The 23,330-nt window shown below is 36.7% G+C and overlaps 1 protein-coding gene across 66 annotated transcripts in view, besides 1 other annotated feature; it reads right to left on the bottom strand.

The window, feature by feature from the left end:
* Window positions 1–23,330, bottom strand: part of ANK2 (ankyrin 2) — a 678,115-nt gene that overhangs the window by 145,778 nt on the left and 509,007 nt on the right. For 42 of the 66 annotated variants that reach the window (NM_001386186.2, NM_001386148.2, NM_001354269.3 and 39 more), the window contains 3 exons: window positions 5,700–5,798; window positions 787–972; window positions 337–360 (listed from right to left, as the gene is read on the bottom strand). In NM_001386186.2, the coding sequence (NP_001373115.1) occupies window positions 337–360; window positions 787–972; window positions 5,700–5,798 (309 nt within the window). The remainder of the gene's footprint in view (window positions 1–336; window positions 361–786; window positions 973–5,699; window positions 5,799–23,330) is intronic. The other 24 variants (NM_001386187.2, NM_001386147.1, NM_001386160.1 and 21 more) reach the window with 1 other exon arrangement.
* Window positions 858–1,042: a silencer, noted in NCBI's record as "fragment chr4:114158073-114158257 (GRCh37/hg19 assembly coordinates)". NCBI's record gives its function as "represses an EF-1alpha promoter that drives an FKBP-Casp9 reporter gene in an ReSE screen in K562 erythroleukemia cells {active_cell/tissue: K562}" and the evidence as "EXISTENCE:reporter gene assay evidence [ECO:0000049][PMID:32094911]".

The following is a 23,330-nucleotide window of genomic DNA, read 5'->3' as shown; positions in this document are numbered from 1 at the left end:
CCTAAGAATTCTCATTAAGGAAATAAAATCATATCTCTTCTTGACAATAAGTTAATAGTAAATCTCACTCATTAAAATATATGTTAAGAAAGAGTTTCATTTCATTCTCTAATAACTTATTTAAATAGTTTTACTGATAAAAATAATGCTTCAAATATATGTTACACTAAATATCTTTGAATTATCAGTTTGCCTTCATTATGGGGAAGGTTTTCAAATTAATTTCCCATTAATCAAACTTCTAATCATTAGTATGAATTAGTGAGCATTTATTCCAATTGGGCAAAAACTAAAAATAAAGACAAGGTAAATTTTGGTATAACCACAATACTGTACCTCAGTTGTCCTATTCACCATCATCTGAAGCAGTGTTGTTTGGAAGAAAGAGGGAAGATATTACACAATGCAAAATTATGGAAACAGTCAATCTGCTCGCTGCAATTGGGTATACTGTTCCAACATGGCAAAATGCATTCTACTGGAAGAAGACATCCCCAAGCACCACACAATACAATTTTATCTTTTAAATTCTATTATTTGTGACTATAAACAGAATAAGAAAGCAGATTTCTAAAAAGCTCAACCTCATCTTTTAAAGAAAATTATCTTGCATTTAATTTTTTTAGATGGTCCCCTTCTTTCTGAAATACCTCTGAAAGTCATTTATCTCTTTTTATGACCAGAAATAATTTTGCATTATCACCATGGCCTACTTCTTTATCATCCCCCAGGAGGAGTCTGGCAGCCAAAGAGTTCCTTTCCACAAATGTGTTCAGCTTTAAGTACCTTGGATTGTACGTCAGCATTGTGGTCATTCTGAAGCAGAAGTGCGGCAGATTTGGTGTCGTCTTTCCTAGCGGCAATATGCAGAGCTGGCAGCCTCACTTTCCCTTTGGTGTCATTCTCCAAGAGGATGGCCACCGCCTGGTTGTGTCCTTGCTGGAGTGCCACAGCTAGAGGAGTAAAGCCATCCTGGTAAAATGGAAGGTAAAAATTGTCTGTTAACATCTTCAGATGCTAGAGATTTAGTTCTAAGCAATGATGCCTCTAATCTTTAATGATCAAGATTGACAACCAAAAGAATAAAATATTACTGGGAAGATTAGAAGCAGATTATAACCAGTTATCCATCATATTATGGAATAGTTTAATCAGACGGCTTTCCTAATTTCTATTCTATACATTTTGAAAAACATCCGCATTCCTTAACAAACATATTACATACAGGATGTGCTCAAATGTATGGTTGCAATCGAAAAATAAAAGTGAGAACCAATCCTAAATAATGCCTCTGTAGGTAAAGCAGAAAAGTGGGAAGGGTAGAAAGAATGGAGACCAAGTCTGACTGGGAATCAAAGATATGGTGACTGAGACAGGGAAATAAAATATATGATTGACTATGCAGGTTATTAAATATATCTGAATGGTTAGGGAAAACAGCCCCTGGGGATGGAGTTGTCTATTACCAGTTCAATTTTGGAAGTTTAGGGAACAATATGATCTAAAACTCTGGCAAATTAGGATAACTTATTAATTATGCTCTTAATAGTTGAATTTTATATTATTTTGACCATTGAGATATAAAATTACATGTGCTAGGTAATGTAGAAAAACCTGTTTTTCAATTCTAAACTTAAAAAGACAGCTTAAAAAACAGCATGGGAAGTGAAAAGGTAGAGAAAACTTAGATAATCATGCTAGAAAACTTGGAAAGCTATCTTTTTCTTTCTAGAAACAAGAATTCAGTTCCTGGAAAGGTGACAAGTACATTAAAAAATAATATATTTTAGGCTCTACTTACGTGAAAGAAAAAAAAAACATCCTTAATCCACAAAAGTTGGAAAACAAGTCTCAAAGTTAGAAGTTTCCATTTCCATAGAGAAAAAAATATGGGCAATAGAATGGTAAATTGAAAGACTGGGGCCAGGCACGGTGGCTCACACCTGTAATCCCAGCACTTTGGGAGGCCGAGGCGGGCAGATCATGAGGTCAGGAGATCAAGACCATCCTGGCTAACAGTGAAACCCAGTCTCTACTAAAAACACAAAAATTAGCCGGGCGTGGTGGCAGGCGCCTGTAGTCCCAGCTACTCGGGAGGCTGAGGCAGGAGAATGGCGTGAACCCGGGAGGCAGAGCTTGCAGTGAGCCAAGATCGTGCCACTGCACTCCAGCCTGGGTGACAGCACAAGACTCCATCTCAAAAAAAAGAAAGACTGCATTCTAGGCCAGGCACGGTGGCTCACATCTGTAATCCCAGCACTTTGGGAGGCTGAGGCAGGTAGATCACCTGAGGTTCAGGAGTTCGACATGAGCCTGGCCAACATGGTGAAAACCCATCTCCTCTAAAAATAACAAAGAAAAAATTAGATGAATGTGGTGGCGTGCACCTGTAATCCCAGCTACTTGGGAGGCTGAGGCAGGAGAATTGCTTGAACCCAGGACTGCATTCTAGAGACGATGGTAATTTACCACAATTTAACTACTCCATTTTTTTCCGAAAATAATTTTTTTAAAGTCACTGCAGACTTCTGAGGAAAAAATAATTTTCCTCAAGTGTATTGTATCAATGTGCAGTACCAGCAATAATAATCGTTTTTTTAATAATAACTGAATTTTAAACACAACACATTACTTAACAGAATGGAAGAGTAAAGCATGTAGTATCTTAAGATGAAAAATAGTAGCCTGAATTTAGAACTTTGTTTGGCACAAATTAAATGCTCTGTGAATGAGAAAAGCACAGACTCATTAGCACATACATATTTAAATGTATTACCTCCTGCAGCACTGTGATAGTTTATATTAAAAGAGTGTGAAATTAATCTTTTTCTTAGAGATGAGGCATTTGCTCACAGAACAGAATGTCATTAAAAAGTTTTTGGCCTTTAATTTTGGTAATATTTAGGAAGAAGGAAGAGAGTAGAGAAATACTGTATAAAAATGGTACTGGAGAGACTGAGAACTCCCTTCTTAGTATTTAACCTCGGATCTTCACCACGTAGATTTCATTCTAATCTGTACTGCATGGGACAAGGCTAAACATTTGGAATGATTTGTTCAAGTGCCTCAATTAAAAGGAAATCCATATTAAAGTTTGGTAGCTTCATTTTTCATCATTTATTTACCAATGCTAAGTGCCATAATTATGGGAAATTTAAAAACTTCAAATATTTCTTCTCAATCATGAATTTCATTGCCACATTGAATAATCTCACAATTATTGAACTTTAAAGTGATCATAATGTCTTGATTAGTCATTAATTTTTGCAAATTAGCTACCAAACAGCTCAGGGCAAGTCCCTTCTTTAGGCATATTGACACATGGGCACATAAGACTGTAGAAGGTATTTAGCAGTATAACACAGGATATCAAATGGCAATCAACCACACAGCCCTGTAAAAACATTATTTTTTTTTTACAGAATGATGCACGAAAAAGGAATATGTAAAGATTTGTCCATGTGTGTTTTTTGATAACCATTAGTGCAGGCATTGAGAGTTTAATCAATTAAGCTTATATATTCAATCGGAAAAAAGTAATTTTAATTATTTAAATGATTGTCTAAAATGAAACAAATAATAGGTATATAATGTGTCTAAGCTAGAATTTAAAACCTCACATGATTTATTTGCAAAAGACACATTTCCTTGTGAAATCAGAGAGGATTTTAACTTTCTGGGGATCAGAGTGTAACATGGCCTCTACTGCTGCAATGTACATAAAAGGGTATTTTTGGAACCAAATGGGAAATGCTACAGTGGCCTTGACCAAAAGAGCCAGGAGCCATGAGACAGCTGGGAATGCCAGCGAGCTGAGTTCTCCTAAATCCTACACTAGAAACCTTAAGTCTATTTGGTAAATAGAAGCACTCTAGCATAAAGGTTTCATCTGGTAAATGATTCTGCTTTCAAGGAAATCAAAATCAAATAAAACAAATATAGATGTCCTTATTTTGATATATTTCTCAGAGGCCCTGATGCAAAGATGCAGTCTCATATTGTTACCTGAGCTCTGCCTGAAGATATTCCCATGGTAATCATGGACAGAACTAGTGTCTGAGGGAAAAAAAGGTCCCAAATCATAAAAATCACACTATATCCAAGTGACAAGAGTATAAAATCTGTGTGTATTGAATAGAGAACTCAAAAACATTTCATACTGGGTAGTTGTGTTTTCCAGTCATAGGTAGGAAACATGGTCTCATTAATAGTGATTTCTTGGATTTTTTTTTTTAACTAACGAGAATAAGCTGTCAGAAACTTGTTGCAATTGGCTCCATAAAAAGTTTTCTCCCAAAGGGACTGGAAAATGATTTATTACATTTTAATAACCTCTCCTTCTAATGCAGCATAGAAGGGAGTTCATGTCCTCAAGACTTAATTGTCCAGAAAGGAAGCCATATTAGACATTAAAAATTATCTTAAGATAGTTTCTGGGTAACAAGAATCCACCAGTCATCTTTCACTTCAGGCCAGGAGTTTTGAAATTTTATCAGTGGGGCCACAAAATATGAAATAAGAAAAGGCCGGGCGCGGTGGCTCACGCCTGTAATCCCAGCACTTTGGGAGGCCGAGGCGGGCGGATCACGAGGTCAAGAGATCGAGACCATCCCGGCTAAAACGGTGAAACCCCGTCTCTACTAAAAATACAAAAAAATTAGCCGGGCGTAGTGGCGGGCGCCTGTAGTCCCAGCTACTTGGGAGGCTGAGGCAGGAGAATGGCGTGAACCCGGGAGGCGGAGCTTGCAGTGAGCCGAGATCCCGCCACTGCACTCCAGCCTGGGCGACAGAGCGAGACTCCGTCTCAAAAAAAAAAAAAAAAAAAAAAAAAAAAAAAAAAAAAAAAAAAAAACAGAAAAGCCAAGCCCATATACTCTGGTTGAAACAGGTGAGAAGAGGCATGTCTCAGGGGAGCTCTCTTCCTCTCCTCTTCCATGTCGCCCACTCCCAACCTTCCAGTGGCCCCAAGCACAAGGGCTTCTGGAGCATCACTTGAAATCACTGCCCCAGACAGTCATTGAACTTGCTCCTTAATCTGCCTAAGCAAAAATGAGAGGGAAAATACAAAGAAAATGGAATAAGAAATGCTTAGGAAAGAAAACTGATGTTCTCAGGGTCCCTGCCCACTCCCACTTCTTATGTCTAGATGTCCTGGAACTCTTTAAAACTAGACTGATTTTGAACATTCTATTCAGTTGTTGCCATAATCAGTCACACAACCATGTGTCATAATTTGTGCTTCAATAAGGTACAGGGTTTTTTTTTAATGACATTCCTCATGAAACTGTGCTAACACAGATACTTATGAATTATTTCTGATGGTAAAAAAAATTGTTCCTTTAAGGAATTATATTGGATCCTAACAAAGATAAAGTATTGGTGAAAAGAGATGAGTAGAATTTACTGTAATTGAATTTTAGAATGGTACAAACCTCCTAAAAGGTCAGAGGATGGAAAATTAATGGAAGCATGATTTTATGTAAGAATAAATAGACACGAATCCAAAATGAAGGCATAAACTGATGGAACTCTGTGCACAAGCCTGAGTCATTTGTTCACAGCCACTGTTGCGATTATAATAGTAACATGAACATTCCTAGCATATTTTAGACAAAGTAATGGAGACTATTTGCAGCCTGATATAAAGAATATGGACATTAAGATCAAAGAATTCAAGGCTTTAGGGCTGACAGTCTTACCTCTGTAGCAGTGCTCTGATTAGCTCCATTTTCCAGCAAATATTTTACAACATCAATGTGATTCTCTTGGGCAGCCATGTATAAAGGAGTAAAGCCATTCTGAGGACAAGCAATAAAAAAAGACACCTTCAATCATTTGTATAAGAGAGAACACTAGGAAGTAAACCTTCGACATAGGGAAGATAGGTAAAATACTTTCATACTGAATAAATTATACACATATTTATCATTATAAAGCTAGACAAAATCGCAGTGAATCAAGCCCCATACACAATTCCTAAAGCAATGAGGAAAGTCTTCATTTCAGTACCAGAGAGTCACATTTCTCGTCAGCTAACACTGCGTAAAAGATATCTTAGTGGCCAGGCTCAGTGGCTCATGCCTGTAATCCCAGAACTTTGGGAGTCTGAGGCGGGTGGATCATGAGGTCAGGAGTTCGAGACCTGCCTGGACAATGGTGAAACCGCATCTCTACTAAAAATACAAAAATTAGCCGGGCGTGGTGGCGCATGCCTGTAATCCCAGCTACTCGGGAGGCTGAGGCAGGAAAATCACTTGAACTTGGGAAGCGGAGGTTGCAGTGAGCTGAGATCAGGTCATTGCACTCCAGCCTGGGTGACAGAGTGAGACTGTCTCAAAAAAAAAAAAAAATCTTAGTGTCTTTAGCATATTTGGTATCTCAGTATCTGTATAAGTTCATAACATATGGAATTATCACTATATATAGCATCTTTATAAAATAACATCTATATAATATCTTCTGCATTTATCATTCATAAACTATTTAAACAGACCATGGTTATCTTGAATATACAGAGTTTAGTTAGCACCCTTAGTGAAGTAATTTACTACTCATAGCAGAATAGGCTAGGAGAGACTACAAATTTGATTGAAAATGTAAAAGTCTTGGCTGGGTGTGGTGGCTCACGCCTGTAATCCCAGCACTTTGGGAGGTCGAGGTGGGTGGATCACAAGGTCAGGAGTTCGAGACCAGCCTGGCCAATATGGTGAAACCCTGTCTCTACTAAAAATACAAAAAAATTAACCAGGCGTGGTGGCACATGCCTGTAATCCCAGCTACTCGGGAGGCTGAGGCAGGAGAATTGCTTGAATCCGGGAGGCGGAGATTACAGTGAGCCAAGATCGCGCCACTGCACTCCAGCCTGGGTGACAGAGTGAGACTCCATCTCAAAAAAAAAGAAAAAAAAAAAAAAGAAAATGTAAAAGTCTATATTTCAGTGTTGTGACTGAGGCAGCATGGTTTATATGGAACATCTTTATATTGTTTTTTAAAGCCATTTTGAAATTCTATCATTCATTCTCACATTCACTTACACAGTTATTTACTAAAATACAGCCACTGGTGGCTAGGCTATCACGGAGCTACAGTGATAAACAAGACAGACACATGCGCCCTAATGGAGCACACACTATGGTAATATTATAACATTATTATAGGCATAGATTTTTAAAATCACTGAAATTGTATAACATGAGTTTAAAATTAAATTTGAATGGGCAAATTTTCTTTTCATCAGAGCCTTAGGAATATGTAATGTCTCATTAAGGAAAAAACCTACAAAACCTTCTTGTGAAATAATTCATAAGGTCTCAAAACCATGTCAGACCTTAAACATAGATGATTCCTTAAGCTTTCCATGCATTAACGAGAATAAGTAAAAACACAGATCAGCGTTCAGAGATTTTTAAAAACTTAAAAGAGGAGAAAACATTTTTTTTTTTTTGAGATGGAGTCTCGCTCTGTCACCCAGGCTGGAGTGCAGTGGTGCAATCTTGGCTCACTGCAACCTCTGCCTCCCAGGTTCAAGCGATCCTCCTGCCTCAGCCTCCCGAGTAGCTGGGACTACAGGGAGAAAACATTTTTTAAAGATACCTTTTTGGAAATAAAAATTCTTCTGTATACATTGTATAAGTGTGGAAACATTATTTAAAATGGCCAACATCCAGCAAAATATAAAGACAGAGTATACAAGTAGACCAAGTAGAGTGATTTTAAATTAAGATTATAGAAGAAAATCTTCTGGCTTCAAATGTTGGAGGAAAATTTACAACTAAAAAAGAAATATAAGAGGAATGAATTAACAACGTTGTAGGATTCAGGAATAACTTGCTAGCTGGATAGCATATTTTTTAAAAAAACACAGCAAGCAGGCGAAATCTTGTGTATTTTAAGAACACTGAAGAGGTGGCGGAAGGCTAGAATTAGAGATTCAAAGGAAGGGAAAGCCAGTGAGGATGGTTAAAAACAATGAGTGGGTGTGGAATGGGGCTCTTTCATGACAAGCAAAAGGCAGGGATGAAAATAAGAGAAAAAGAACTTTTAATAGAGTAAAACAATTTGCTAACATGCTTTCCTCTGACAGTCTTGTAGATAGATCAAGAGAAAGGGAATCAGGCAGAGGTCGCCAGATCAGCAGGAGAAAGGAGATGTACCATGCTGAGGTCCCTGCCTGAGAAAGGACCCTGCCCTGGGTCCTGAGCTTTAGAGGGACTTCCTCTGGCTGGGCAGGGCAAAGAATTCTGAGAGCCAAGAGGACAGGCTCACCATGATCCCACAGCTCCTCCATTACCAGAATCCCTGCCTACGTGTTCCCAAGTGTGGCTCCAGTGCTCACTCACACTTCTTCCTTGGGTTCATCCTCTCAAGTGTCCATTGGTAGGCACACCCTTTGGGAGGCAGAATGATGGCCCCCACATATGTCCACATCCTAATCTCTGGAACCTGTAAATGCTACCTAATTTGGCAAAAGGAACTCTGTAGATGTGAAGTTAAAAATTTTGAGATGAGGAGGTTATCCTGGATTATCCAAACAGGCTCTATGTAATCACTGGGGTCTTTACAAGAGCAAGACAGAAGGCAAAGAGGAGAGAAGATGCTACACTGCTGGCTTTGGAGATGGAGAACGGGGCCGTGATCCAAGAATGCAGCGTTAGAAGCTGAGAAAGGCAAGAAAAGGGATTCTCACCTAGAGCCTCCGGAAGGAAACAGCAATGCCAACATCTTGGTTTTAGTTCTGTAAGACTAATTTCCAATACTAAAAAAGAATAAATCTGTGTTGTTTCAAGCCACTGGTGGTGTAGTAATTTGTTACAGTAGCAACAGGTATGTAATACACACCTTTCAAGTTGTTTGCTAGGGAAGGTAAAAATGGGAGATGAACAAAGCTTGAATATGTGCAGGTTGGTGTGTCCACACCCTTCCATGTGATGCTCCTGTCAGGCAGATGGAGTCAGGGATAGGAGTAGAAAGGGGACTGGGTGGTAGGCCCCCAGGAGTGGCATTGCCCTCATCACAGTCCTGTGTGCAACTCCAAGCATTCCAGGATGTCTAATTTTGGACCTGTCATGATTTACCCATCAAAGTAGGAGATACTTAACCGTTTTTTAGCTTGATATGTAGTTTTTAATTTAAAAAAAAATATATTGCAAGCGGGCCTCTTTTGCATTCCTTGTCCTGGGACTTACAAAGAGATGAGCTAAAGTAGGAGAAAAGAGGGGAATATCAAGGTTTATAAAAAATATCAAGGGAGACTACTGGGTATCTACCCAGAGGAAAAGAAGTCATTATACAAAAAAGATACTTGCACACACGTGTTTATAGCAGCACAATTCACAGTTGCAAAAATATGGAACCACCCCAAATGCCCATCAATCAATGAGTGGTTAAAGAAATTGTGGTACGTATATATACCATGTACTAATACCCAGCCATAAAAAGGAACAAAATAATGGCATTTGCAGCAACCTAGATGGAATTGGAGACCATTATTATAAGTGAAGAAACTCAGGAATGGAAAACTAAACATCGTATGTTCTCACTCTTAGGGGGAGCTAAGCTATGAGGATACAAAGCCATAAGAATGATACAATGGACTTTGGGGACTTGGGGGAAAAGGGTGGGAGGGAGCTGAGTGATAAAGACTACAAATTGGGCACAGTGTATACTGCCCGGGTGATGGGTGCACCAGAATCTTAGAAATCACCACCAAAGAACTTATTCATGTAACTAAACACCACCTGTTCCCTTAAAACCTATGGAAATAAAAAGTTAAAACAAAACAAAAAAAATCAAGGAAGAAAGTATCAAGAATATGGGGAGAAGAGTAATGATAGACAAACATTCAAGATCTTGGTTAGAGCATTTCACAAACATCACATGTGTGCCTTGCACCATGACCCTGGTGTGCTACAACTTCCAGCAGAATAGGGGAGCAAATGCGAAGAATGATAAAAATGAATGTGACTTATTGAGCTTCTGTTATATCCACTGTAAAAAATGCTTTGAATGTATCTCCTCAAATTATAGTGCTCTAGTTTGTCTGGGACAGCTCAAGTTTATCATAGTATCCTGAAGTAATTATTAATAGTGCCTCAGTTTGGATGATAAATGACCTAATACTATATCTAATACTTAGAATGGTGCTGCAACATTTGTACTATTATCCTCATTCAAACTGAGGCAGCTGAGGCTCAAATACCTACGTAATTAAGCCAAAGTCTTGAGCTAATAAGTGATCTGGGAGTGACAGGCAGGTGGCAGTTACTGAATAGTCTCTTCCCTGTAATGGTATTAGGACTCCATCCTGTGGATGAATTTTCCTCAGCCTGGCTGTGTGATAGAATCTCCTGTAATAGCTTTTAAGAGTGCCTAGGTACCACTCTACCACCTCATCCCTACTGAATTGGAGTCTCCATGTGTAAAGCCCAAAAATGAGCATTTTTTTAAGAGCACATTTTTTTAAATTGCCTTGAAAAGTTTGTTATAGGTGATGCAGAAAAGTTGAATGTATTTTGGTAGGAAGTACCATAATCACATTTGCATTTTAGAAAGTTCATTCTGGTGAAAACAGATGCCTTGGCTTGGGGTGCTAGGAGACAAGAATGGAAGTAGGTTGTCAATCAGCTCCTGCAGTACCCTTTGCAATAGTGTACATAAAAGATGAAGGAAGCTTTGGTTGGGAGATCGGAGCATTGTTTATTGTTACAAAACATGTGAAGTAAGGCAATAAAGATTTACTACAGGTCCTTAAAATGTGGAAATTATTCTCTCTTAACTTACTGGTATTTAACAACAAAAAATAGCCCACTGGAGAATGTGAAACATGCCTCTGGGTAATTAGGACAAGGCATGGCAGCACTTTAACACCACTGTAAACTTTATAGGAAAGCATTTATCATCACATATTAATAGCTTAAGAACACAACTGTATTGGCTTCTGTGTATATGCATCCAGGTGCTTTCCAACACCTTATGTCTCTGTGTGTTTCTAAAAAGGCTCTAGTTGCATGTAGGTATGAAAATAGATGCATTTTCTCCTTTTTGGTATAAAAAAGTCAAAGATATCCACAGCCCAGGCTGATACTGGGTGGGTGAAATAAGTACAGCATTACCAGTTGTTACAGTAGTTCTGGTGTGACCAACAGGTGCTCCTAGCATCTGGTTATTAAATATTTTGAACATTACTCCTGTCCATAGAAAACTATGAATTATTTGTTATTCATTATATTTACTCAACAAAAATATGTTTGGTGACTTTTCACTGCTAGGCATTGTGTTCAGCTCTAATGATTCAGAGACAAAATTCAAGGTTCCTGTTTTGAGAATTCACAGCCCAGAGACTGAGATGGACAAGTTAGCAAAATTCTGTATTACACTTTAGTGAACACCTATATAATTAGTTTTTTTAAATTATGTGTTGGATATAAAGAGAACACAGATGAAAGACCCATAATTCAACTAGATAAGGAAATGATATCTGAACGAAGTTACTGGGAGTAACAGCTGGAAGACACTGAAGACACAGAAGCAGGCAAGGTATTTGAAAGAGAAGGAACACCGTGCAATGAGACAACACAGGACATACGGAAACTTACAATTAATGCATTGTTACTGGGGAGAAGCAGCTTAGATAGGCAGGGATCAGTCCCTGTCTGCCGTGCTGAGGAGTCTGAATTTTATTCTGAAAGCCTTGCGAGGAATTGGTTTTTGTACGGGGGTTTGACACAGACACATTTGATTTTTAAAGATATTACTTGGCGAGGAATGGGGAGGATACATTGGAAAACAGAGGCCAGACTATAGTCCAGAAGAGTGGAAAGCAGGTTTTTGTTAAATCCCAAGAAGTGAGAATTACAAGTATTAATATGATCTTAGTATTTTAAAATGTAATTTACTCTTCATTTATTTATACTCTGTTTCACGATTAGGAAGATAAGCATTGCATTCAGTCTGTATTATTTATCAGTCATTGATAATAGTTCTCAGGTTTATTAAACAGCTATAATGCTTTTCTTCAAATATAGAAATCATGCTGTATTTTAGGGAATTCAAACACTTATTACAAAAATATCTTCCTATTTACATTAGTAATATGACTATAAACCAGTAATCAGGTTTTAGCCAATGGTGAAAATTCCTTTTGGTAATTGGATTATCTTGACAAATTGAATGTGCAAGAGCTAATATTTATATTTTTACATATCAGATGTAGATTTAATGAAGCTTTTGGAAAATCTTTAAAGCAAGTAAATTTATTGATATTTATAAGTCATTTCAAAGAAATTATACAGAGAAAAATACTGTTAATATACAAGGTAATGAATGGTTTAACACCAATGTTTTGGATAAGAACTTCAACTCTAAGCATTGTCATTATTATCAATTTTAAAGAATCTTAACTTTTCAGCCTTTATTTTCCTGGCATGCATAACTTTATTCTTCCCTTACACAAGTGAAGATTCATCATTTGGTTGGCTTAAAAAGAGTGATCATATAAAATTACTTTTATCTTAATATAAGAGTAAATGTGACTATTCATTTTCAACAGTCTTTATAGCACCAGATTTGTTCTAAAAATTATTCCTAGGCACTGGGGGGTCCTGCTCTCAAGAGTAAAAAAAATGACAATTCACAGAATACATCTATATAGAATCATTTAAGGCTCCAGACATACTATAATTTCCAAAAGAGAAACATGAATAAAATGCTGCTGGAATACTAAAGACTGAGCAATTAACTCCGTGAAGAAGGTATATTATGGCCCATGCACACAGATCAGAGAGAACATTAGGAGGTCTAAATGAAATCAGGATGGCAGATACAGAGAAAGTGGAATGTTCTTTATTGTTCTTTTCTCTTCTTGCTCCATTGTCTCTCAAAAGATGTGGTGTTTGTAGGGGAAGTATGAGTGTCTTTGCTGCAGACACATATTTCACTTGGGGAATTTTGTCCTCTAAACCTGAGTCTAATGAATAGTGAAAGAACAGTAAGAGAAATTACTAGCATGGGTAAAAGCCAGTGCAAGAATGCATCTCAAAAGGAATTCTTACAGGTCTTAAAATTAAAAAAAAAAAAAAAAAAAACTTCAAAGATCTCTTAGCCAGAACTTAATATAGAAAACTACAATTTTACCACTTAATATAGAAAACTACAATATTACCACTCAGCTAAAGATAGGCCTTAGGTAATTTCATAGATGATGCATAAGCTAATTCACATTCTCTAAAATATATCACAAGAGTAGAAAATGATTATGGAAATTTCAAATGATTACATAAAATATCTGTGTAAACTACTCATTTTATTTGTTTTTACTTTCAATGTTACATTGCTAAGCTTATTAAATATATTTCAGTGATTAAAAGAAACTGCCGTATTTTCCTAGATGAAAATGTTGCAGCTGAAACAGATGTCACCATTTTACAGTTGAGGAATTTTTAACCCAGAGATTGAGTAACCACCAAGGAGACTGGCCAGTTACAGAGGTTCAGGAGAGAATAGGAGGTGAACAGATACAGCAAGTGCAGAGATGTTGGAAACTCTTACCATATCTTCTTAATCTTTCAGGCCTCGACATAAGTGTTACTCTCTCTGAGAGGCTTTATTTAGTGCCCATAAAAATGCTTAGCACTTAGTAGGTGTTCAGTAAATATTTGTTACATAAAGGAATAAAGTAAAACAGAATTCAAATTCCTTTTTATACCTGTGGTGGTTTTAACATACACCTGCAAATTCTTTGACACTCCTCACTTCAAAAAGTGGAGCCAAATTTCCCTCCTCTTGAATGGAGGACATCTGAGTAGTTTGCTTCTAAAGCACTGATGATGGCAGAATTGATGGTGCGTGATTTCTGAGGCTAAGGTTTAAAAGTCACTGCCCTTCTGCCTTCTTGTCTCTTTTGGATCATCTTCTCTGAAGGAAATGAGTTGCTGTGTTATGCTGACACTGAGGCAGCCTATGGAAGGACTCACAGGGGGAAGAAACTGACCCCTCTACCAACAATTAGCACCAACATGCCAAACATGTGAAAGAATCAGCTTTGGACGGAATCCTCTAGCCCTAGAAAGGCCTTCAGGTGAATTCAGCTCTGGTTAACATCTTCACTACAACCTTATGAGAAACTCTGCACAACTAAGCCACCACTCCACAGTGACTGTGATGATAATATTTATTGCTGTTTTAAGCTAATAATATCCCCACTAAGTTTGGGGATAATTTGTTATGCAGCAATAGCCAACTGACATAAAGTCTAATACAGTCTTACATAATCTGGCCCTCACCTACCCTGCCAACCACATCTCTTACAACTTGTATGCTTCCTTTCTGTTTGGAAAAGAAACTCATATCTTAGACATTTATTTTCAGATTTTGTAGTCATTTAGCTCTTCAAATGCTATCTTACCTGGAACCTCTAAAATCTACAGCTCTAAATCTTTACAATACCCTTAATTCCATGTGCTATTTCCAGTTTTCTGAGAGTATTATATACTCTATATTTACTGGAAAACACACTCAATAAGTTACATAACCAAGTCCAACAGTAGGAAATAAGAATCGTTACAGAAAGATCTGGGTTCAAATTTTGTAAGTAGACTTCCTCTTTTGAAGAAGCACCCCATCTTTTGCAGGCAGGTCAACGTCAAGATTTAAGTTTCTTCACAGAGCAGAACTCTTCAGCAGCCTTAACCACGACATGCTAGGAGGATGTTCACAGACTCCAGTTAGCACTGGTTGGGAAATACTACTCTAATTCCCATCCCAGAAACTATGCATCTTCTTCTTCCTTGGAATTAGCATTATGAAAGATAAGTTGGAAAACATCCCCAAATTGTCACCAAGCTTTAAGGTCAGGATGATTCAAATTATTTCCCTAAATATATTGTGAAGGCACAGCTGCAAAGGATGTAAAAAACCAATGGGTACTAATTGTAGTCACAAAAATAAAGACTACTTTGTGTACTCTGGGGGAGCATTTAAGGGAAAAGGACAAAATATATGATTATATACTTGTTTAGTATTAATAGTTAAGAAGGCATCCTATTAATTAAAGTATCATATACATTTTCTCAGATAATCTGAAGTTGACAATTCTTAGCCAGGGTTAGGATATTATAAATTATTTTAACTACTTTCCTCTCTCCAAAGATGATTAAAAGATTAGTTCATAGTTAAACTATCCAATGACATTAAAATGACTAATGTCCTAAATCTTTCTGGGGAGGTTAAGTTTTATCAAGTGTTTACTGTGTCATCCTGTTTTATATCCACAACTATGCTATTAGGCTCCTTTTACGAATGAGACTGTGGCTCACAGTTATCCACCCAAGGAGACACCAAGTGGTGAGACCAAGATCTGAACCCTAAAGGGATCCAAACTCAGTACTCTTTTTACTCCCTCAGCTGCCCTTTTCAATAAGGATCAAACTGCCTCAGACTCAAAAAGGCTGAGGCAGGATAATTGCTGAAACCAAGGAAGCAGAGGTTGCGGTGAGCCGAGGTTGCACCACTGCACTCCAGCCTGAATGAGAAAGCAAGACCCTGTTGCCAAAAAAAAAAAAAAAAAAAAAATTGTTTCAGAGAACACCTGTACTTTTATCTAGCAATTGGACAATTAACTTCCTTTTACTTTCACCTAAGCCATTTACTAGGGATGAGCTGGAAAGCTCTGCCTTGTGACATTATGGAATTTCTATGACCTGCTTGATGAAGAATGTTCAAATGTTTTCTTAGACATAGGAATTCTTCCAGTTTTTATTTCCAGTGGGTAAGAAATTTGGGTGGTGTTAGTAAGAAGAGAGAAGTCTAAGCACTTTACATTCGTTATTTAATGCCAGCAGTCCATTGAAACAAATACTGTATCTTTATATGACTCAAGGAAATTAGCATTCACAGGGATTAAGAAGCATGCCTGAAGTTTCACATTACTTAAAACATGGAGCTGGGATTCGAACCCATGTTTAACTAATTCCAAAATTCATGTTCTTTCAACTACACTATTCTGCCATGTGTTTTAACAGCAAATTCCACAGATGATATTATACCATGTCTGGTTATTGCCAGCAAACAGAAAGAAAATACTGTATTCTCTCTGGGTCTACCATGATCCCTGCTTTCAGCTTCTCATGGATAAATTACCAAGAAAGCATTTGAACTATTTTGCATGTTTCCAGTTACTCATTCCAGTGCATCCTATACAGCAACCTGAATTAATCTTCTTAAAATCTATTTTCAACAAACTACTTATCTACATTGTCATTTTACTGACTGTGACTGGAGATCAGTTTTCTCTTTTTTTTTTTTTGAAGTGGAGTCTCACTCTGTCCCCCAGGCTGGAGTGCAGTGGCACGATCTCGGCTCACTGGAACCTCCGCCTCCCGGGTTCAAGCGATTCTCCTGCCTCAGCCTCTTGAGTAGCTGGGATTACAGGCCTGTGCCACCATGCCTGCTAATTTTTGTATTTTCAGTAGAGACAGGGTTTCACCATGTTGGCCAGGATGGTCTCAAACTCCTGACCTCAAGTGACCTGCCCACCTCAGCCTCCCAAAGTGCTGGTATTGCAGATGTGAGCCACCGCGCCCAGCCCTGGAGATCAGTTTTCATAGACAATAACTGAACATCAAGACCTTTTATATCCTTGCCCCATTTTACTCAGTAAGTTATAATGAAAACAAACCTTTAATACATATTGTGATGTTGCTCCAGACCAACTTGTCTCACCACTATTTCTACACTCACATGCTCAATTCTACCTCCTCACGTTGTTGTTACTAATCTTCCCATCTGCAAAGTCTTCCTTTGCATTTTCCTGTCTGCAGACCTTATCTACGAGTCAATGCCTGGCTCCAGTCCTCTGTGAGTTTTTCGTTAACAAAATCTAGGCTATTCCAAATCTTCCTCTCTAGTACACAGTCTATTCCATATAATTTAGTACCAAGAGTGTCTTCTGTTGCTTGCCTTTGTTTCTTGTGTGTTCACCTTGACTTTGTGTGTAGCCTATACACTTCGTGAAAGCAGCTTCTTCTCTTACACTTGATTGGAATCCTCCATAGAAATCAGCATTGTGCTGAGAACATAGTAAGTGTCCAATAAATAGCTGTTGATTGACTAAAAGTTTACTTTTAGCCTTATTTTCCTTAGTTCCTGACAATTATAGATGACTTAGATTTGTGTTTTTCTCCTTTATTCAACATTTGAATTTAATAGCTGAATTACCATCACCCCATTCTACAGAAAAGTTGAGATGGCTAGTAATGCTTTATTTACTCTCACATAACTCCAAAACATTTTTCTCTCTCTGTTTCACTTTGCAAAAATGAACAAAGACCTTGCTAAACTGTTAAGCTATGATGGAATAATTCTGTTTTTTATGTCTTTGGATTTCCAAACAAAAAATAAGAAAGCAAATGAATATTTTAAAAATCATAGAGAAAGTAAACAAATTTAAAAAGAAAACAAATAAATTTTTTAAAAAAACAAAACATACAACTTTTTAAAAATGGAATATCCAAGCTATAGAAGTGGGTATTTGTAGGTGCCTACCCAGGATCCTCCTTCTTTCTTGGAAGTATCCTGGTTTTTCATTAGAGTACCTATGTTTCCCCATATAATTCCAGTAAGATTCACATAATTACAATAAAGCTGAACTTCTCTCCTTATCTCCTAGGCCCAGACAGGTTATCAAATGACTTAAGCCAATCAGCAGATTACATTCTCTTGGTAATGCTGGTTTAAGTTTGAGCAAGAGAATTAAGCTGGTTCAATCCACCAAACTCGAATTCTCTTTTGGAAAGCTAGGACAGACATGTTCCCTTCTTTTGAGTCTGAACAAGAAAATGTGTGGTTCCGATCCTAGGACCACAAGGAAAGCCAGGTGAGGATAAACTGGCACTGTAGAAATTATAGCAAAGAGGAAAAAAACAATTCTGAGTCCTTGGTTATGAATGAGCCACCAGATGGGCAGGAGGCAATCTTAGAGCTCATTATACCCATTTACATTTTTTATTTATGAAAGCCAAGAAAACCCCCTTTTTGTTGTTTATCTAATGAGGAGCTGTTTTTCTTATTTGTGATTGAAGGTATCCTAGTTGGTATATCCTAGTCTGGTATATACCAAAATATAGTTTGTACCACTGCCATTAGTTTATAAGGGAGCATTTTCCAGGAAATCTGAAGAGTATCATAAAACACGTCACAGAAATAATAGTAAGAAAAACATAATTTAACATTATTATGGTTAAAATATATTATTTAGTGACCCTGAGACACATCATCTGCAGAGAAAATCTAAAATAGATTTTCAAGTATGAGGTTAAACTACAAAAAAGCAGGTGGATCATTTTCAGTAAGAAAGTAAATCTGCTCTTGCAAGTGATGAGATTTTAAAAATACTTTTTCTGTGTGAGGGGAAAACACAAAATAAGATACACAGCAGTAGGCTTTTCTTCATTGTTTTTTGTAATGTATAATGCTTTTATTTAAGTTGTCAATAGAAATATTAAGTTTATTTTAGATTAAGTGCTGCTCACCATATCACATAAAATTTTATAATAATATATAAATGCCTTTATTTTTATATGCATAATTAATTTAAATAATAAAAATTAAATTTTACAGTTGTTGTACCCAATTTGTTATAAAAGTAATGAAAATGTCTAAATGTCAGAGAAGAAATTTTAGTGTAAAGTTAATAAATATTTGAATATTGAAATTGGGTAGAAATTAATTCCCTGGTAGATTTCCTTAAAGAAACTTTTCTAGACTTTCAAATTGTCTAACAACATAGATTACTAGATTCAGATCTTCAGTATGTAGTATAATTTGCTCAGCATGTAGCCAGTGCATTAAAATAGGTATATTGAGCAATTTAATACATGACCTAGTAACTTAGAAGCAAGAGAAAATGTGTTACCTCCAAAAGCAAAAATGCTGACTACTTTGTATAGGCCTATGGCATTGAGAAAATTAAGTCAATAACAATCGCTATAGGGTGCTTTTATTTTCCCCCAACAGAGCAAAATCCATTAACCTGAAGTAATTATTTTGCATTAAGCTACAGTATTAACTTAACTGGTTATTGTTCTACCATTTTAAGGTTGATTCAATATAATAAAAATAAAAAATGACTTTCTAGATTAAACCACTTAGAATAAGCCATAACTCTTTTACTTCTCTCATGCATTACACCCCCCAAAATTATTTAAATGAATGACTACCAAATAGTTTTCTTATTTCTACTTAACTGTCTTTGAGAAAATAAAATGCTGCTCCAAGTTTTTAAAAACACACCTAACATCAAAACACTATATGATATGGTTAGACCAACTCATCTAAAGTCACATTTCCTATACTCCTGTCAACTGCAGCTAGTAGACTTGGCTTTGTTAATAAATATAGATGGTAGCAGTATAGCACTTTTTATCGCCTGAGATATACACCCAGGAAATCTAAATCTCCAATCAAATGAAGTTATTGCTTTCTTCATCAATGTCAGTCATTTTTTTTTTTTTTTGGTCATTTAATGATTACTGTTAAACTGACAATTAACTTTGCAGGGCAATTCAAAAATTAAAACATGCATTCTGACACAAATATACTGACACATTCCAAGGGGATTCCAAATTTTAAAAAATTTTCCAAAGAAAAAGGTTCATTTTTTTGATTCTAAAATAGTTGCTGTGTTTTCTCAACAGTCGTCAGAATTATAATGCTATTCTCACTCCATGTCTGGTATTAACAGTTTTGAAAATAATCAAAGTCTTGTTTCATATCATATTACATGTATTTTACCAGTAAAGGTTAGAGCATTAGAACAAGGGGTTATAAATAGGTTTTATAATGTTTGAACAACAGAGCAATTTAAGCACAATGAAAGTCTTACTATAGATCTTGTCCATTACTAAGTGTGGGTTTTTATCTGTGCTGACTTACCCTTATCCAAGGTCTTTAAAAGCTGCTAGGCAGTTAGAGCAGGCAGTGTGCCCAGACAGTGCTGAGATGGAGAAGACAATTACACTACACAAAAAGTGATATACTCAATATTTAGCAGCTGCTTAACAAATTCTAATTCACAACTTGCCAAAGATAAAACCTCAAAGAATAAACATCTTCAACGCATTGACTCAAAACCTCACGTAGACAACACATGGAACCATTCAGTTCGGTACCGAGACTTAGTGTCCCCATCCCCCAGGCCATGAACCGGTACTGAAACTGGGCCGCACAGCAGAAGGTGAGTCGGGGCGGGGGAGAGGCGGCGAGTGAGCATTACCGCCTGAGCTCCACCTCCTGTCAGATCAGAGATGGCATTAGATTCTCACAGGTGCACGAACCCTCTCATGAACTGCCTGTGAAAGGGATCTAGGTTGCGCACCCCTTATGAGAATCTTATGCCTGATGATTTGAGGCAGAACGGCTTCATCCTGAAACCATCCGCTGCTCATGGATAAAATGTCTTCAACAAAATCGGTCCTTGGCAACCGCTGCTTTGGAGTATTTAGTTATAATTTATACCTTGAAATACATTCACATTCAAAAATTTAAGGCTACTTGAAACACTTTATATATATATGGTTAAAATATATATCTACAGTCAAGATAGGGCTATAAGTGCAACCCCGAACAAACTTTAGTTGTAGTCCTCTAGTGGTGGTAACCAGAACTCAGAATGAACGAGGTACAATAATTGAACACTTGGGCTTTTGGCAGCCACAGAAAAAAGGGAAATGTGATAGAGATGGGAGTTCTCATATTTTGATAAAGGAGAACTTGCTTTTTGTTTTTGGCCATCTAGAATGATGATTTCATACAAAGGACAGAGAACACACAGTTGGCTGTCTAGTGTACCGGTGGCTGTTCTTTGGAAGAATTCTCATATGTGTCGAGGGAAGAATCACTATTAAATGAAGGTAAGTTTTCATCAGAGGAATAAGCTCTGATTAGCATATGATGTGGCAAGGTTGATTCATGCAAATCGTGAAAATTGTAGAGTGTGATGTACCCTTACTGACACAGAAGCTGCCTCATTCCAACAAAGACGTTCTATAGCAAGCCTTTCCTTTAAAAAAAAAAATAGTGTTTGAACTGCCTTAAAAATCTGGATGGATAAAATTCTTGATCCCAAAGTACAAAAGCTACAAATTGGGCCCCAATAACTTTAAGGGAAGGTGTTGCTCCTCAAAGCTCTTACTTAAAAGGACCTAAGTATGCTCTGCCCACTCGTTATACTTGTGTTCAGAGCCAGATTTTAAACAAAAATATGTTCTGAGTGTTGTTCTTCCTGGGTATATTGGCTTCAAAATGTACCCCCAAAAACTGATAAGGATGATCTGTTAGATGTGTTTACTGGAGCAAGACTGCACAAAACAATAATTATTTTGGCCTCTGAAATGATATTTATTATTGTGCTTTCAAAAGATGATGCCCTAACAGGCCTAATTGCCTTCATAAGGCATTTCATTGGCAATCAACAGGATTCTTACCTCCTTATCTTTCTTTTAGCTATGGCAAGTGAGTATTCACCAATTCTTCTAAGTAAAGAATCAGGGTGTTTAGATGTAAGCACCTTTAAAAGTCTAAAATTAGAATGAGATATGTCAATATATAGTGCTTCCCCTTCCTGGCATTATAAACTGTGCTACGCATAGGCTTCGAGAAAGTGTTTATTGTCTGAGGTTGCTGAGAGTATTCTGTAGCTTGGCCTCAAACAGTTCTTGACTATAAAATCAGGAGGTAACAATAAACTGCCAAATAATTTATGAAGATTTATACTGTTTTAGTCATTTTCTCAGTCAATTGAAAGATGATGATAAATATTAGTGATGAAATAGTTATGCCAGAAATGCTTGCTCCTAGTGTAAGGTGGAAGATTTAGAATCTGAAACTTGAAATACCACAAGAAAATGATGACAGAGTAGCCCGATTTAACAGTTGGGAAAAAAGGCTCTTTCTAAGCAGATAATCCTTTATTTTCAGCCTTCAAAATGTGCTTTTCATGTATAAGAAGAGACAAATAATACCTTTCCTTATTAAGTTGTGTATAAATAAATTTGTTAAGTAAATACTGGAATTAAAAATATTAGTTATGATAAAATAATAGAAGATAGAAAAATTGTAGATGAAGATAACACAAGAAAAAAAGTGGGTTTTTTTGTTTTTGTTTTTGTGTTTTTAGTTTAACTGTTTAACTACCAAAAGTTAAGAAAGCAAAGCAAAGACTGTATTGTTGCATTCTCAGAGCTAGAACAGTGCTTGGCATATGGTATATAGTTAATGAATATATTCATTTTTTTCTGGCTGTTTGTAGCAAATGCTTTTTCTAATTATTCACATTCAGGCCCTGTGTTCCAAAACTATGTTATACCAAGGTAAAGTTAATATGCTGCTAATCACAAAAGATGAAACTTCTGTACAATCTTTTCTCCACTCCCCACTCCAGAAAATAGTAATCTCTCAGTCTCAATGGAGAATTAGCCATTTTGGGCAATATTGTTCTCAACTCCAGTCAATTTATTTCTTCAATAACTTAAGTAGATAATACAAATATATCTAATGATTAGAAAAGTGGCTAACATTTATATTGCACTTATTACATGCATTATAAGTGTACTAACCCATTTAATCTCTATATCAACCCTCTGTAGTAAATACTATTATCCCTTCTTTACAGATGGGGAATGGAGTCGCTAAGAGGTTAAGTAATAAGCCCAAGGTCACACAAATAGTGGATTAATGAAACATATTTCATTGCCTTTCCTCTCCTGTTCAGAAGTAGAGTGGGATTTGCCCTGCTCCTGCATTTACCTCACTTAGTAATGTCTTTATTTTGCTCTCCCATGTTGTTTTTTATTTTAATGTGAAGGTTTTATTATATTATGTATGTTTCCTGCTATTCATGTCTTCCAGTTAATATGTTATTTAAACATAACATTTTTAAGGGGTATGATTTAAAAGATTGTACCCAGTTATGTTCAGACAACATACAGGAGAGTCTCCTGTACAATAAAATAGTTAATAAATGTCTTTTGATGACATTGTTGGTTCACATGTGTTTTGATTCCTGCAAATCCACCATTCTAAAGGGCCACTTTTTGTAAGTGAAATGATGTGTACTTTCACAGTGATATGATTTCATGGCATTTCAAAATTATTACACAAAAATTTCCCAGTGATTTGAAAAGAATAAAAAATATAGTTGAAGTTAGTCATGCAAGCACCCTCTGATGCCTTGACCTTTGCCTCACGAGTCTAATTTCAGATAGGATATTTAAAGTCCTAACCTACCATGCTCATACATAAAAACTTGCTGCTTAATACTCTTAGTAATAAATTTTTTA

The sequence above is a fragment of the Homo sapiens genome, chromosome 4 (assembly GCF_000001405.40).
Source record: "Homo sapiens chromosome 4, GRCh38.p14 Primary Assembly".
In the NCBI taxonomy this organism is placed as follows: domain Eukaryota; kingdom Metazoa; phylum Chordata; class Mammalia; order Primates; family Hominidae; genus Homo; species Homo sapiens.
This window is presented reverse-complemented; position numbering and strand designations above follow the sequence as displayed.